Source organism: Homo sapiens, chromosome 4 (assembly GCF_000001405.40).
Source record: "Homo sapiens chromosome 4, GRCh38.p14 Primary Assembly".
NCBI lineage: Eukaryota > Metazoa > Chordata > Mammalia > Primates > Hominidae > Homo > Homo sapiens.
The window spans coordinates 148,818,308-148,832,358 of record NC_000004.12 but is presented as its reverse complement, the minus strand read 5'-3'; the positions used below and the strand labels follow the sequence as shown (position 1 = coordinate 148,832,358).

The following is a 14,051-nucleotide window of genomic DNA, read 5'->3' as shown; positions in this document are numbered from 1 at the left end:
CCTTTTGCCTTTCTCTTCCTAAGACCTACACACAGGCTTTCTCTGCATTTGTACATCATGCTTTATTTAAACCCATGATGGACAACTAGCCTCTCTGTATTCTGACATTGCCAGAAAGTTTTTCTGCTTAGTGGACTTTAATTATTACTGAATTGCATTAGGATCCCCATGGAATTACTTATTACAGCTGCACAGTTGCAAAATGAGTCATCATGATTACATCTATTACAATGGCTACCAAGGAAACCATGTATGAGTTTCCATCCTGTAAAGTATCTGGTCACATGAAACCAACAACCAATGAGTAACATGAATAACATCCCATGGATCTTATGGCATCATAGACAATGAATAAGTCATTTAACACATCAAATGGGAATCATAGGGACAATATTTATTTTGGCCCTACAGTGTACTTCGTTTTCAGTAACTTAAAAATTAAATTAAAGTTATAATCATTTCATATATCTTTAATTATTCACATATACCTTTTGCTTTTAGGGAAGCCATAAAATAAAAGAATAACTAAAACTATATGATATATGATAATGTAAAAGTATACAGATATCCCAAAGTTGTATTTAGTTAAAAATGTTATTTAGTAATCTACATAGCAAACATAGAATACCAAATCTACTACACAGTTCTTTGAAAAACAGCACTAAAATAAGGAACAAAACATTATTCTCTCTTCCCATGATTAAATCATTTCTTAGAAAATAATTTTACAACTCTATAGGTATATTCCACAGGTTAGTTTTAAAGTTAGCATAAACATTAACACTGCATTGATGGATCCAGGTCTTGGGAATGAGAAATAATAAGTAATAAAAATAAAACTAGTATGATGTTGTGTGTTGCTTGATTCATAAATATATAAAAATTATATTCACACTGAAATAATATTGCAACTAAGTTTGTACTGACATAGCATCATGGTTTATTCATGTAGAATTCTCTCAATTCTGATGCCCTTTGACCTCTGCCACACAATGCCAAGACAAACCCAGACCCCAGGCCCTGGAAACAGAGGAGGGGCAGGTAAGCAACCAGAGGCAGGAAAGGAAAAATGGGAAGGTATGGAAAGCCAACTCTATGGGAAATTAAGGTTTGTGGGGTCAAGTGCTGGTGGAATCATTCTACAATTTTATTCAATCTGAAATGCGTATAACTTCCATGTACTATTTTTAGAAGCTACTATTTTGTGAAGTGGGTCAACATTAGGTAAACCGTAAATGATTTGGTTTTACTGTTTTTTTTTCCAGGGACCACCTTCCCCCCCCCACAGAATTTATAGGAGAACACAAATATAGATTAAAACATCTTATATTTTTAAGAATTCAGTTGACTTTACATACAATTCCCTCCATTTTCTTTTTCTTTTATTTTTACTTCAAGTACAAATATTTACATATCTGAAGGCACTGAACTTATTTTGTGCAATCAAGACATATATTGTTTCAAACCAATGTGTCTCCAAGGGGATGGAGGTATTCTTGAAATGTCATTAATGTGACTTTTCTAGTGTCACACCTTATTTATATTATTTATAAATGAGAAGAATAGTATTGCTACTTGTTTTAAAAGTGACAGAAACCACAGACCAGAAATCCTTCCTTTAATCCTTCCCACTTGCTCACTGACATAGGGAAAGGCTTCAGTCATTTTCAGCTTTTATCCTTTTCTCCCACTTGTAAATTGGGTGCATTTCTATTCTTACACTTTCTCCTTCTCCATCAAATTCCAAAGTGGAATACAAGAAGGAAACTTACTAATACCATAGTTTGGGGGCAGGAATTATGCTCAGTGAGGAGTGGATATATTGGGCACGTAGGCATTTCTAGTACTTTTCTCTATTTTCTCATTAAATTCCTTTTACTCTGCTGAAGTCAATCTCTTTGAGGGAAATTCTAGGTCTCAGGAGACAGAGCTTAGGTTTTCATGCCAGAGATGCCTGCCCTAGAGTCTCAGAGACACCTATTTACCCTCTTTCCTCATCTTTAAAATGAAGGTACAATACTTATTTCACAGCACTTTTACAAGCACCAAATGCAATAAACATCCTAACTATCTGGACTGCAAAACTGGCCCTCACTCAAGGCAAGAACTTAAATAATGTTGACATGGACAAGAGACAGGGAAATACTGGGTAGAAGGGCGGTTCTCCAGCAAAGGCCCCATCCTCAAGCCTGGAATCCCACAGCCCTGAATAAGAATAGGCATTCTTGTTTTCACACCCAAAAGTTGCCTTTTGGCCTGCCACACCCCCTTCCTGTACTCATATAAACCCCAGACCCCAGGCTCCCGAAGAAGATGAGGAGACAAACAGAAAAGCAAAAGACCAGCAGAATAGTGCGGCAGAGAGAAGAGAAGGAACGTTTGAATGTTGAGAGGAATTCAGCTGGGGGTGATAAGAGAGGGGATCGGCTGTGGGACAGCCAAACTCCAGGGGAAGATCATCTTCCTACTCCATCCCCCTTCCAGCTCCCCATCCATCCTGCTGAGAGCCACCTCCACCACTCAATAAAACCCCTACATTCATCCTTCAAGTCCATGTATGACCTAATTTTTTCTGGATGCCAGACAAGGACTTGGGTACCAAGAGGGTCCACTGAGCTGTCTAACACTTAAGCTGTCTGTGGACAGCAAGGCTAAAATAGCACACTGTAACCGGTCCCCACCTAGGCTTCAGGAGTCACAGACATGCACCCCTAGACACAACCATGGGGCCAGAGCCCAAAAAGAACTTGCCCTGGCTCCTGCACCTGCCCATCTGCATGCTCCTCCTCCCATAAGGGGTTTGAGCACATGGCGGCCACACACAAGCCACACCCCTGTCGCATGTGCTGCAAGGGGGGTCAGGGAACTCTCCCATTTCAATGATGACTTTGTTAAATGGTCCATAAGGGCTATCCCCCCACACCTCTACCACACCATGCCCCATCTGTTTTCTTCCAGGGAAGTCCACATACTTTCTATCACCCAGCTCTCTCTAATCATGTCACTCTTTCAATAATTATTACTATGTGCAGGGCACCATGTAGAGAATTTTAGAAAATACCACTCTGTATGGAACCTTTCTCTAAATAAGCAAGAGAGCAAACATACCCCTATGCCAGGCATCAACGAGGTGCTAGATGAGCTCCACAAACCCTGAGCTGTGTGAGCAGAATCAAGTTACCTCACAATCTCCTGAGACTGTGTCCATATACTTGCTTGGATTTTAACACTTCTTTTTTTGAGACAGGGTCTCGCTCTGTCTGCCAGGCTAGAGTGCAGTGGTGCCATCATAGCTTACTGCGGCCTTGACCCCTGGGTTCAGTGATCCTCTCACCTCAGCTTCCCAAGTAGCTGCGACCTTAGGCGTGCATCACCACTCCTAGCTAATTTTTGGATTTTTTGTAGAGATAGGGTCTCGCCATGTTGCCCAGGCTGATCATGAACTCCTGGGCTTAAGAGATCCACCTCCCTCGGCCTCCCAAAGTGCTGGCATTACAGGCTTCAGCCACTGTGCCTGGCCTCTATCTTTCTTTTAATATTATCTTTTCCAACATTACATTCTTATATCAGATCAAACCACAGAAATTATGAGAATAGATTTTCAAAACTGTAACAAATAAGCTATAAAATGTTCGATGTAAATGTAAAAAAATGTATTACAGTTGTGTTAAATCTGGGAGACTTACACTCTCTCCATAGAAATATGCAGCTCACGTTTCTTTAATTTCACTCTTCTATTCAAATTCCAGTCCTCACTGAGGCAGGGTTCTTGAAGAACCTTCTGCCTCAAACTGGAGTGCAATCTTTTCCTCCTATTATCACTTCATTAAAATCTAATGAGGTGAGGAGGGAAAAGGGGTCATGCGACAGCCTTTACAACTATTCCAAATACATTGTTGGAAGCAGTGCTTAAAAACAAGCATAAAGATAGGCTTGCAAAATAAAGTTATTGTCTAAACTTCTTTAAAGCAGTTAAAATTTGTGGTGAAATTTGAGTTTCATTCTTTGTATGTCACCTCATTTTCCTTCTGACTTCATCGAACTGCTCTAACAGAGGGCTCCAGTTTGTATCTGAATCAAACCCTCCACACTGTTGGTGTAGACCAGTTGGATTAGATCAACTGAAGTCCCATCTAGATAAAGTTGCCCTGAGAGACATGAAAGGGCTACACAGAGAAGTCAGGTAAATCCTGAATGGAGTCTTCTGTGTGGAATAAATTAACTACAAAAGGCCCCAAGTGGCTTCTCCTATCTTCCAAGAATTAATAACGTTTCATTGTTATTTGAATAAACTTATGAGATTTTTTTTTTAATGACAGAATAAATGTTGCATATACACTACATAATTCCTTCCATCCTGACAGGAAATGGCCTTCAGTTTTCTCTGGGGAACTGTGCAAACATCTGGATAATCTTGAAATCTTTTAATATGAAAAAAGTGGTAATTACCCCCAAACTTATTACTTCCCACATTTATTTCTTCTTTCTCGATGATTAGGAATTTATTTCTTTCTCAATGAGGATTTAAAGATTGCTTACCAAGGAATTAATTTGGCCATGTGTCCACAAAAGATATAGTTGTCAGCCTGGTCCCACGGAAATACGGAAATTCACAGAAAGTTAATTTTTATCATTTTTCTTTAAGGCAGCCAAATTTCCTAATTTTACAGATTTTTTTTTTAATTTGCCAATGTAGTTCCTTTGGTTTTGAATGTTGCACTGAAATTCCTTTTTAATGTAATGAGCAGTGTTATGCGGTTATTTATATTTAGCTCTACATTCTCATTCATCACAACCCTATGGAAGAATTTTGACAAGCAATGTACAAATGTGACATGGGTACGAAAGCATATATCTCAGAGGTCTGGAATCTCTGAATGAATTCCGTGCTCAGTATAGTGCGGTATAACTCTGGAGGAGGTTCCCAGGAAGGTTGCATGGGACACAAATGCCACCTTAACATTTCACCCCATATACTCTTTTGCTTCTCCAAAAGCACTGAGTCCTTTCCTCTGTTACACTTTTTCCTATCTTCCTTTCTCCTTCTATGTGTTTCTGAGTGGCTTTTTCTTATTCTTTTGCTCAATTCACTCTGTTTTGTAGTTTAGTTTGCAAAACGGTCATCTCAAATGCTTTTCTTTCTTCTAGTCCTCCCTTGCCACTCCTGCGTAATTCGTGTTTGCTTGGTCTCTTTATTTATAGTACACCTAGAGCTGTATTAATTCCTTATGTAGCCTGCATTTGAATTCCTTTATTTCCTTGTGTAAATTTTTGGTGTTCTATGCTGAATTACGAGGACCTTGAAGAGAAGAAAAGTTGAGTGGCCTGGTTGGTTGCTGAGCCACCAGGTTTCACTTTGTTAGGATGTATTTTTTTGAGCTTTGGCAAATCTAGTGATCTTGCTGGACTCCACATTCCTGATCTGAAATAATAATTTGTGGCTGGGCACAGTGGCTCACACCTGTAATCCCAGCACTTTGGGAGGCCGAGGCGGGCAGATCACGAGGTCAGAAGATTGAGACTATCCTGGCTAACACGGTGAAACCCCGTCTCTACTAAAAATACAAAAAATTAGCCGGGCGTGGTGGCGGGCGCCTACACTCTGGAGGCTGAGGCAGGAGAATGGCGTGAACCTGGGAGGCGGAGCTTGCAGTGAGCTGAGATTGCGCCACTACGCTCTAGCCCGGACGACAGAGCGAGACGCCGTCTCAAAAAAAAAAAAAAAAAAAAGAAAAAGAAAAAAAAATGATAATTTCTACGTTCTGTTAATGGGTTTCGGTATAGGGTAATTACTTATTCTTCCTAAAGTTTTTAAAATTGTAAAGTCTATTCTAATAGCATTTAGAATATGATTAGAATAATAAAATATTTAATGATGCCTACCATATGCCTGGCACCATGCCTTTGTGCTGGGGGCACAGAGATGAATTAAGAATTTCTTTTCTCAAGAACTTCAGTGAAAGAGAGGCTCATAGAGAAGGATACTTTCAAAAGACAATGGTAAAGACTTTACATAAGTTCATGTTTTAGCACAACTATATATTTTAAATGTTCTATATTGAAATAATGATAAGAAGAATTACCAATGTAATCTAGTGTTTCTGGATCCCGGCAGCATTGTCCAAATGCCTTTTAACAAAATATACCCACTTAATGCCAGTCATTAAATCTGTATTTTAAGAGTTTTTCCCAAATCTAGTAAAAATGCACTTTTGCTTCAATTGAATCCACATTTTAATCCTGTTTTAAATGGAAGTAGGAGAAGAGAAAATTAATATTTGTTGCATGTCTACCATGTGCCCAATACAATGCTAAATCTTTCAAAAGCATGATTTCCTTAAACACCCAGAACAAGTCTCCAAGGTAGGTATTATTACCCCTAATTTAAAGATATGGGAAATTAAAATGGTAGATCAGGTGATTTGTCCAAGGTCACCCAACCAGAAAATGTAAGTCAATATTCACACCCAGGTTTACTCACTCTAAAACTTATGCTGGCTGTGTTTTACTACATTTCTACCCCAAATGAAACCACAGAACTGGACTTCACATTGTCTTTTAAAGGTATACAGGACTGTGGTAGCCTCTGAACCTAACTGCTTAGTAAAACAGGCTACAGATGAGAAAAATAAAGCTTCGAGAGTTTAAATGATTTGCCAGAATTCATTCTGCTAGTTGATGTCAGAGATTGGAAAACGCACAATTCTTTCTCCAGGGCAAGTCCATGGTATGCCCTGCAACATTCTGTCTAAAAATAAAAATTTTTAAAAATGAGCTCCCTGCTTCAAGTAAATCTTTTTTTTTTTTTTTTTTTTTTTTTTTTTTTTTTTTTTTTGAGACAGAGTCTTGCTCTGTCACCCAGGCTGGAGTGCAGTGGCACGATCTCGGCTCACTGCAAGCTCCGCCTCCCGAGTTGAAGTGATTCTCCTGCCTCAGCCTCCTGAGCAGCTGGGATTACAGGCGCGCACCATCACGCCCAGCTAATTTTTGTATCTTTAGTAGAGACGGGGTTTCACCATGTTGGCCAGGCTGGTCTCAAACTCGTGACCTTGTGATCCACCCACCTCGGCTTCCCAAAGTGCTGGGATTACAGGCGTGAGCCACTGCGCCCGGCCTCAAGTAATTCTTAAACAGAAATGTGATGACCAAAAATATTATGGAAGCAGTTTTTAATGGATGGAAGTTTGGATTTGAAAACCTACCAGTGCTCTTCCATCTCTCTGATTCTTTGAGGCTGTAGAATGAAGATACTTTTCTGTTATTTTATCTTCAATTAAAAATAAATGAATAAGCTTGGGCAACATAGGAAGACCCCCATCTCTACAAAATGAAAATTTAAAAAAAGAAAAATTAGCTGGGCATGGTGGTGCCTGTAGTCCCAGCTACTCAGGAGTCTGAGGTGGGAGCATGGCTTGAGTCACGGTACTTGAGGTTGCAAGTGAGCCGTGATCTCACCACTGCACTCCAGCCTGGATGACAGAGTGATACCCCATCTCAAGTAAATAAGTAAGTTAAGTAAGCTGATCAGTAAATAAATTCATTTTCCTTTTCCCTCAAAATTTTTATCTTTGATAATTTTTAAAAGTCATTTTTCACATTCTAGGTTTTCTCAGAGTTAACTTTCTCTAACCTTGAAGCCGAATCCAGGGGCAGGAGCAGGAGTCAACTCTGAGAAGTAAGGACATTTCTCTCTCCATAGCTCGCTCTGGTTCTTACCCATCCACATCTCCTTCTAGCTCTCCTTCTCTTTCTTTCTCTCCTTCTCCCTTTGAGCCTCTTTCCATCCCCTTATCTAATTCACACATACACATTCCGAAACTGACACTTAAAATATCCCGTGTCTTGTGACCTTAGGCAATCTGTGGTTAAGTTTATTAAAATAACAACAACAAAGCTTTCCTAAGCTCAGCACTGATACGCCAGGCACTAGGTTTTTCCATACACTATCCCAATATCCAATTACTTCTTGTAGATTTGTCCTTTGTTTTATCCAATTGGTTTCTGAGCTATTTTCCCTCAAACAAATATCCCTTTAAGCCTTCAGTACAGAAATTGTATAAGAAAAGATTTTTCCCCTAATTAAAAAAAATTTTCTTTAATATATGTAGAATTGACAACATCAATTTTTAAATTATTAAATTACTATTTTAATCTTGTATCTTAAAGTGCAAATTGGGATCAAATTGAATGATTCCAGGGCCATTACTTTAATTTTTATCACCAGATTCCAGTATTATGGATGGAAGGAGGGGTGGATGTGAAATATTTTCTGATTTTTCATTTCTAAAAATAATTTTAAAATAACTGGCAATTAATGTGGCTAAAGTGGAAAAAGCTTTTACTTGAAGATAAGTTTTATTTTTCTAATTATCATAAGAATTCTGGTTCACCGTGAATCATTCAAACATTATAGACATGTGTTAAATAAAAGTAAAAGTTTCTATCCTGATATGCCCCCACTTCCCATTGCTCCGGGGTTATCACTGTTAATAGTTCAATTACTAGACTTGCAGACCTTTTTGCACATATACATATGTTTGCATACAAAAGAACAGGATCAACTATACCTAATATTCCACAATTTGTTTTTTTTCCACCCAACAATAGTTATGGAAATTTTTGTGTTACTGTATATAGATATTTCTCATTCATTTTAATGTCTACCTACTATCCCATCTCACGGATGTGCCATAATTTGACTACTCTCTGACAAACATTTAGTCTGTATCACAGATAGTGCTGCAGTAAAACAGCTTGTACATATATTATTATAACATGCTTACTTTCACTGTTTACCCAACATGTCAGACACATCCACAGTCTGAGACTAGAAAAATCCTTCGCTGTCTACTTCCAAGGTTAAGCTGTGGGGCTCACAGTGGGGCAGGTCCTACAGAGGCACAAAACACAGCATGGCTTTTCATTCAGGGGGCTACAGATGACTTCCAGGTCCTGAAGATCAATGGATCTTAATATATTCTCAACAAGGAGAGAGCCCATTTAGATGCAGGCTAGGATATACAGTTCTTGTTTATAAAGGGAGGGACACATGGGAGGAGAAAATGAATCTCTCAGAGGGTAGTGCCTGAAATGTAAGACACACCAAAGGGCATCTGAGGTAAGACTCAGAAGAAAAAGAAAACAAAAAAACCTTCTTACGCTTCCCAAGTGCTTACAGAAAGTGAAGGTCAAAGCTCAGATAAGTTTGATTAAGTTTTCTGGCTCTTTAGAAGTTACACACCCTCTAAATTGCTATAGTCATCCGTTGTCATGAGATCTTAGCAAGAGTCATCTACAAAAGTAGCCAACTTGCAATGCCACGTGCACTTAACACCTTGATCACTGACTGCATATATTTAATCTCCTAGAATTACTGCATTTCTACCGTATGTAGAAAATATCCCCTCAAAGTGTAATTTTTCTCACTTCTATACCATCTCTTTCTCTTTTTTTCTTTAGCAAAATAGTTTAGCTACAATTTTTGAGCAACTACAATGTGCCCAGCACTATGCTAAGTGTCTTTGAGACATTATCTCATGTAACTTCCACAATAGTGTTATGAAGTCAATGCTATTATTACCGCCATCATGAAGGCTCAATGAGATCACACTGCTAATAAGTGGCAGAGCCAGGGCTCAAATCCAGGCAGGCACACTCTAAAGCCTGTGTATCTCATCACTATGGGATATTGTTCATTTTATTCTGAAAGTTCATGGAATAAGTGTGCAGATTGGAGTGATGGAACTCTATTAATATGTGATAATGAGACTAGAACTACTCAACTTCCGTTGGCTTTTTAGTTGCCAGTTAATATAATCCTCAGATTGTCAAAAGCAGAATTTTGGCCAAAAGGCCCAAAAGGCCAAAGTAAGGGAGAATTAGCCCTTCAAAATATGTTTGAGATCTTTCCGAAAGTTCTTTAAAAATGCCGGATAAGACTGTTGACTCATATTTGAAGCCTTTGAGGAAATCTGGAGAACGAAATAAATCATGATAATAGAAAACAGAAAAATACAGGATTCAGGTTCAAAAAGGTGAAAAGGGTAAATTTTGCAAAATTTGGGTCTAGGCTTATTTAGCAAACATGAACAAGATTCCAGGACTGATTATTTACAGGATCTCTTGTTTGAAACAAAACAAAAATCTACACAGAACTACAGATTTCAAAAGGTGAAAATCTATTCTTTTTTCCTTTGTTTAATAAAGCAATCTATCTGGCCATTGCTGAAGTCCTGACTATCATTTTGCAGAAATGTATTTAGCAAAAGTTTTCATGGTAGAAACAACAAGAAAGAGAAATACAAGGTCAATGACATGCCATTTGGTAAAGGACTAATTAATCAATTCAACCATCAAACCTAAGCCTATTGGCTAATTGTCCAAATATGTACAAAATACGAGTCTCTAATGTCTCTAATAGCAAGCTGTAGCAAATGCAGTGGGTGGCAGAATAAGGAAGTAAACAGTTTATTACAGGATCTCCATGCCTAAGTCTAGAAAGATAAATTTTAATGTGTACAAAAAAAAAAATAAAACATATGAGACAGTTCATTTCCCCCAAGCAACTTTGGATAATATTTTCTAATGGCATGATTGAGCATTCCTCAAAATATTCAAAAAATGAGATAAGCAAAATCAAGTTCTACCAAGAAACTTAATTAAATAACTAACACTACATTAGGCATGTATAAAGCCTTAAGTAGATAGAGTACATAAAGACACAAAATAATTGGACAATCTCAAGCTGCATGATTGTCCAATGTTACCATGTCCAATGTTGTTTTATTTCTTTCCTAGGCTGGGAAAAGCTTTTATTACTTTTTAGCTCATGATTGCCTCTTTTTTTCTTTATTAACCCTACTTTACTCAAAACCTACTGCAAATGGTGACTTCTGCTCCCATGCAAAATTGCTAACCCTGACATTTATAGCACACCATGTGTATTGTCAACCTAACAGTCACATGCTTCTTTTTTATGTTGCCATGGCTCAAATTCATTCTGGGGTATGAATGGGAATTCATACTTTTCCATTCAACTCAAATAGACTCTGAAAGGTCACAATCATAAGGGTCTCATCTTCCTTGTCCACGATTGGCTTGGCGAAAGGGCACACAACCCAGTTTTGGCCATTAAGATATATATTCAGTTATTCATTCTACAAGTATTTACTGAGCACCTACTACACAGCAGGAACTAGGTGCTAGGGAAACTGCAGTGAACAAAACACAAGTGTCTCTGGAGCCCCAGATTGTAACTGTGGGAGAAATAAACTAATAGTAAACACAAATAGTGTTAAAGGAGTTCAGAGAAAATATTATTCATTTTTAATATTCTAAAAATAATGCCAAAGGAAGAAATTGTTATTTATCTTCCTCTGACATTGATGAATAGGACGTGATAGAGCTTCAGCAACATGGAGAGGAGATAGCCGGTCTGGCTAGGATGGAAGAAATGTACATGGAGAAGAAAGACAGAAGAACCATCACTGAGCACTAAACTAATCAGCCATAATGTGTAAGCCACTTTTATGAATTTTTTTCCTTCCTTCCTTCCCTCCTTCCTTCCTTTCTTCTTTCCCTCTTTCCTTTCTTCTTTCCTTCTTTGATACAAAGTCTTGCTCTGTTGCCCAGTCTGGAGTACAATGGTGTGATCACAGCTCATAGCTCACCGTAACCTTGAACTCCTAGGCTCAAGGGATCAATCCTCCAGCCTCAGCCTCCCAAGTAGCTAGGACTTATAGGTACGTGCTACCACACCAGCTAATTTTTTATTTTTTGTGTAGACTGGATCTCGCTATGTTGCCCAGGCTAGTCTTAAACTCCTGGGCTCAAGCGATCCTTCTGCTTCAGCCTCCTGAGTTGCTGAGGTTATAGCTGTGAACCATTGAGCCTGGCCCCTGAATTTTCCATTACTTTCTGTTGAGAGTACCCTCACTGATATGACATTGTATACAGGTTTGGTAGAAATATTTTCGGAGCAATTTATGTTATCTCTGATCACTTTTTACAGGCAGATTGACTGGCAAGCCTATCACCACCTTGATAACAGATGACATTAAAGAGAAAGGTAAATATATGCTGTTTTGCTAAGTTTGTGCAATGGCCAGAGAGGAAGAAAAAATATGTAGAATGAATGAACACAGACTACCAGCCCACTTAGATAGAAATATACATCCATTGTAAATATATTTCAGTATAGTTGTAAACAGCTATTGTTTGGCACTGAAAAAGTAGGTATTTGTCATCACAGAAGAATTAAGATTATTTTGAGGCTTTTCTTATCCATGTATATCCATGAATAATCACATATACATACATATATTTCAAAATTGTCTTCTATGAAAGATTTTATATATGTAATCCTGTGTGTATATAAATATAATATATATATATATAATATGTATTCTTAATCTTTAGAATATGATTTAGAAATTCTAATTTGGGGTCATAATTAAAAATATGTTTCATGATAAGAATACTAGAGGAGAGAGACATTCATTTTTTAATGCATATATAGAGATGGATAACATAGTCAACAAATATCCCCCAAAACTTGGTGAGAAGAAACTGTTATTTTCCAAAACTTTGATATGATGAGGCAAATAGAAAGCAAAATCCCTCATGGAGGCAGAAGAGGAGGAACTTAACAAATGCCTGTTGAATAAATGAATGAATGTTTGAGCATCTACAATTTTGCAATGAATGTTCAGTTTCTTTTTACACAAAAACATGGCCCTTTCAAAAAGTTACATTCCTGTTTATAAGAGACAAATCTCTCCCCACCCTCTCACTTTCATTCCTTCCCCTTCATTTCTCCCTCTCTTGCTTCCTTCCTTCCTGCCTTCCTACCTGCCTACCATTCTTCTCCAGCAAATATTGAGTGCCTTCTCTGGAGCTGGTATTGTATGCTGTATTATGAATAAGACAGATAAAAGAGGCTTTTTGCCCTTAAGAAACTTATTATACTCAAGAAAAGAAATGATACATTTAAATAAATTTATAAATACATTTAGTGTGTATTTGTCTGGTGAATATTATCTGGTAAACAGTGAATACTACTGTTTTAGTCGGTCAAAATGGCTATAACAATATATCATACACTGGGTGGTTTATAAACAACAGAAATTTATTTCTTATACTTATGGAGGATGGGAAGTCCAGGGTCAGGGTGTCAGCATCGTCAAGTTCTGGTGAGGACACTCTGCTGGGCTGCAGACTTTCCATTTGTTATTGGACCCTAACATGACAGAAAGAGAATGAGAGCACTCTGGGATCCCTTTTATTTTTTTATTTTTTATTTTATTATTATTATTTTTATGATACTTTAAGTTCTAGGGTACATGTGCACAACGTGCAGGTTTGTTGCATATGTATACATGTGCCTTGTTGGTGTGCTGCACCCATTAACTCGTCATTTACACTAGGTATATCACCTAATGCTATCCCTCTCACCTCCCCCCACCGCATTACAGGCCCCGGTGTGTGATGTTCCCCTTCCTGTGTGCAAGTGTTCTCATTGTTCAATTCCGACCTATGATTGAGAACATGTGGTGTTTGGTTTTCTCTCCTTGTGATAGTTTGCTCAGAATGATGGTTTCTAGCTTCATCCATGTCCCTACAAAAGATATGAACTCATCATTTTTTATGGCTGCATAGTATTCCATGGTGTATATGTGCCACATTTTCTTAATCCAGTCTATCATTGATGGACATTTGGGTTGGTTCCAAGTCTTTCCTATTGTGAATAGTGCCACAATAAATGTATGTGTGCATGTGTCTTTATAGCAGCATGATTTATAATCCTTTGGGTATATACTCAGTAATGGGATGGCTGGGTCAAATGGTATTTCTGGTTCTACATCCTTGAAGAATCGCCACACTGTCTTCCACAATGGTCGAACTAGTTTACAGTCCCACCAACAGTGTAAAAGTGTTCCTATTTCTCCACATCCTCTCCAGCACCTGCTGTTTCCTGACTTTTTAATGATCGCCATTCTAACTGGTGTGAGATGGTATCTCATTGTGGTTTTGATTTGCATTTCTCTGATGGC

The 14,051-nt window shown here is 38.0% G+C and overlaps 2 long non-coding RNA genes across 3 annotated transcripts in view; one reads left to right on the top strand and one right to left on the bottom strand.

Annotated features, from left to right (window-relative positions):
- LOC107986195 (uncharacterized) overlaps positions 1 to 14,051 on the bottom strand; it is a 496,338-nt gene that overhangs the window by 200,500 nt on the left and 281,787 nt on the right. The window lies entirely within an intron of this gene.
- Positions 1 to 14,051, top strand: part of LOC105377481 (uncharacterized) — a 51,454-nt gene that overhangs the window by 2,939 nt on the left and 34,464 nt on the right. Inside the window, exons 3-6 of one of the 2 annotated variants that reach the window (XR_007058322.1) lie at positions 953 to 1,041; positions 7,604 to 7,675; positions 11,393 to 11,515; positions 12,011 to 12,067. This is a non-coding gene — a long non-coding RNA (uncharacterized LOC105377481). The other variant, XR_001741437.2, reaches the window with a different exon arrangement.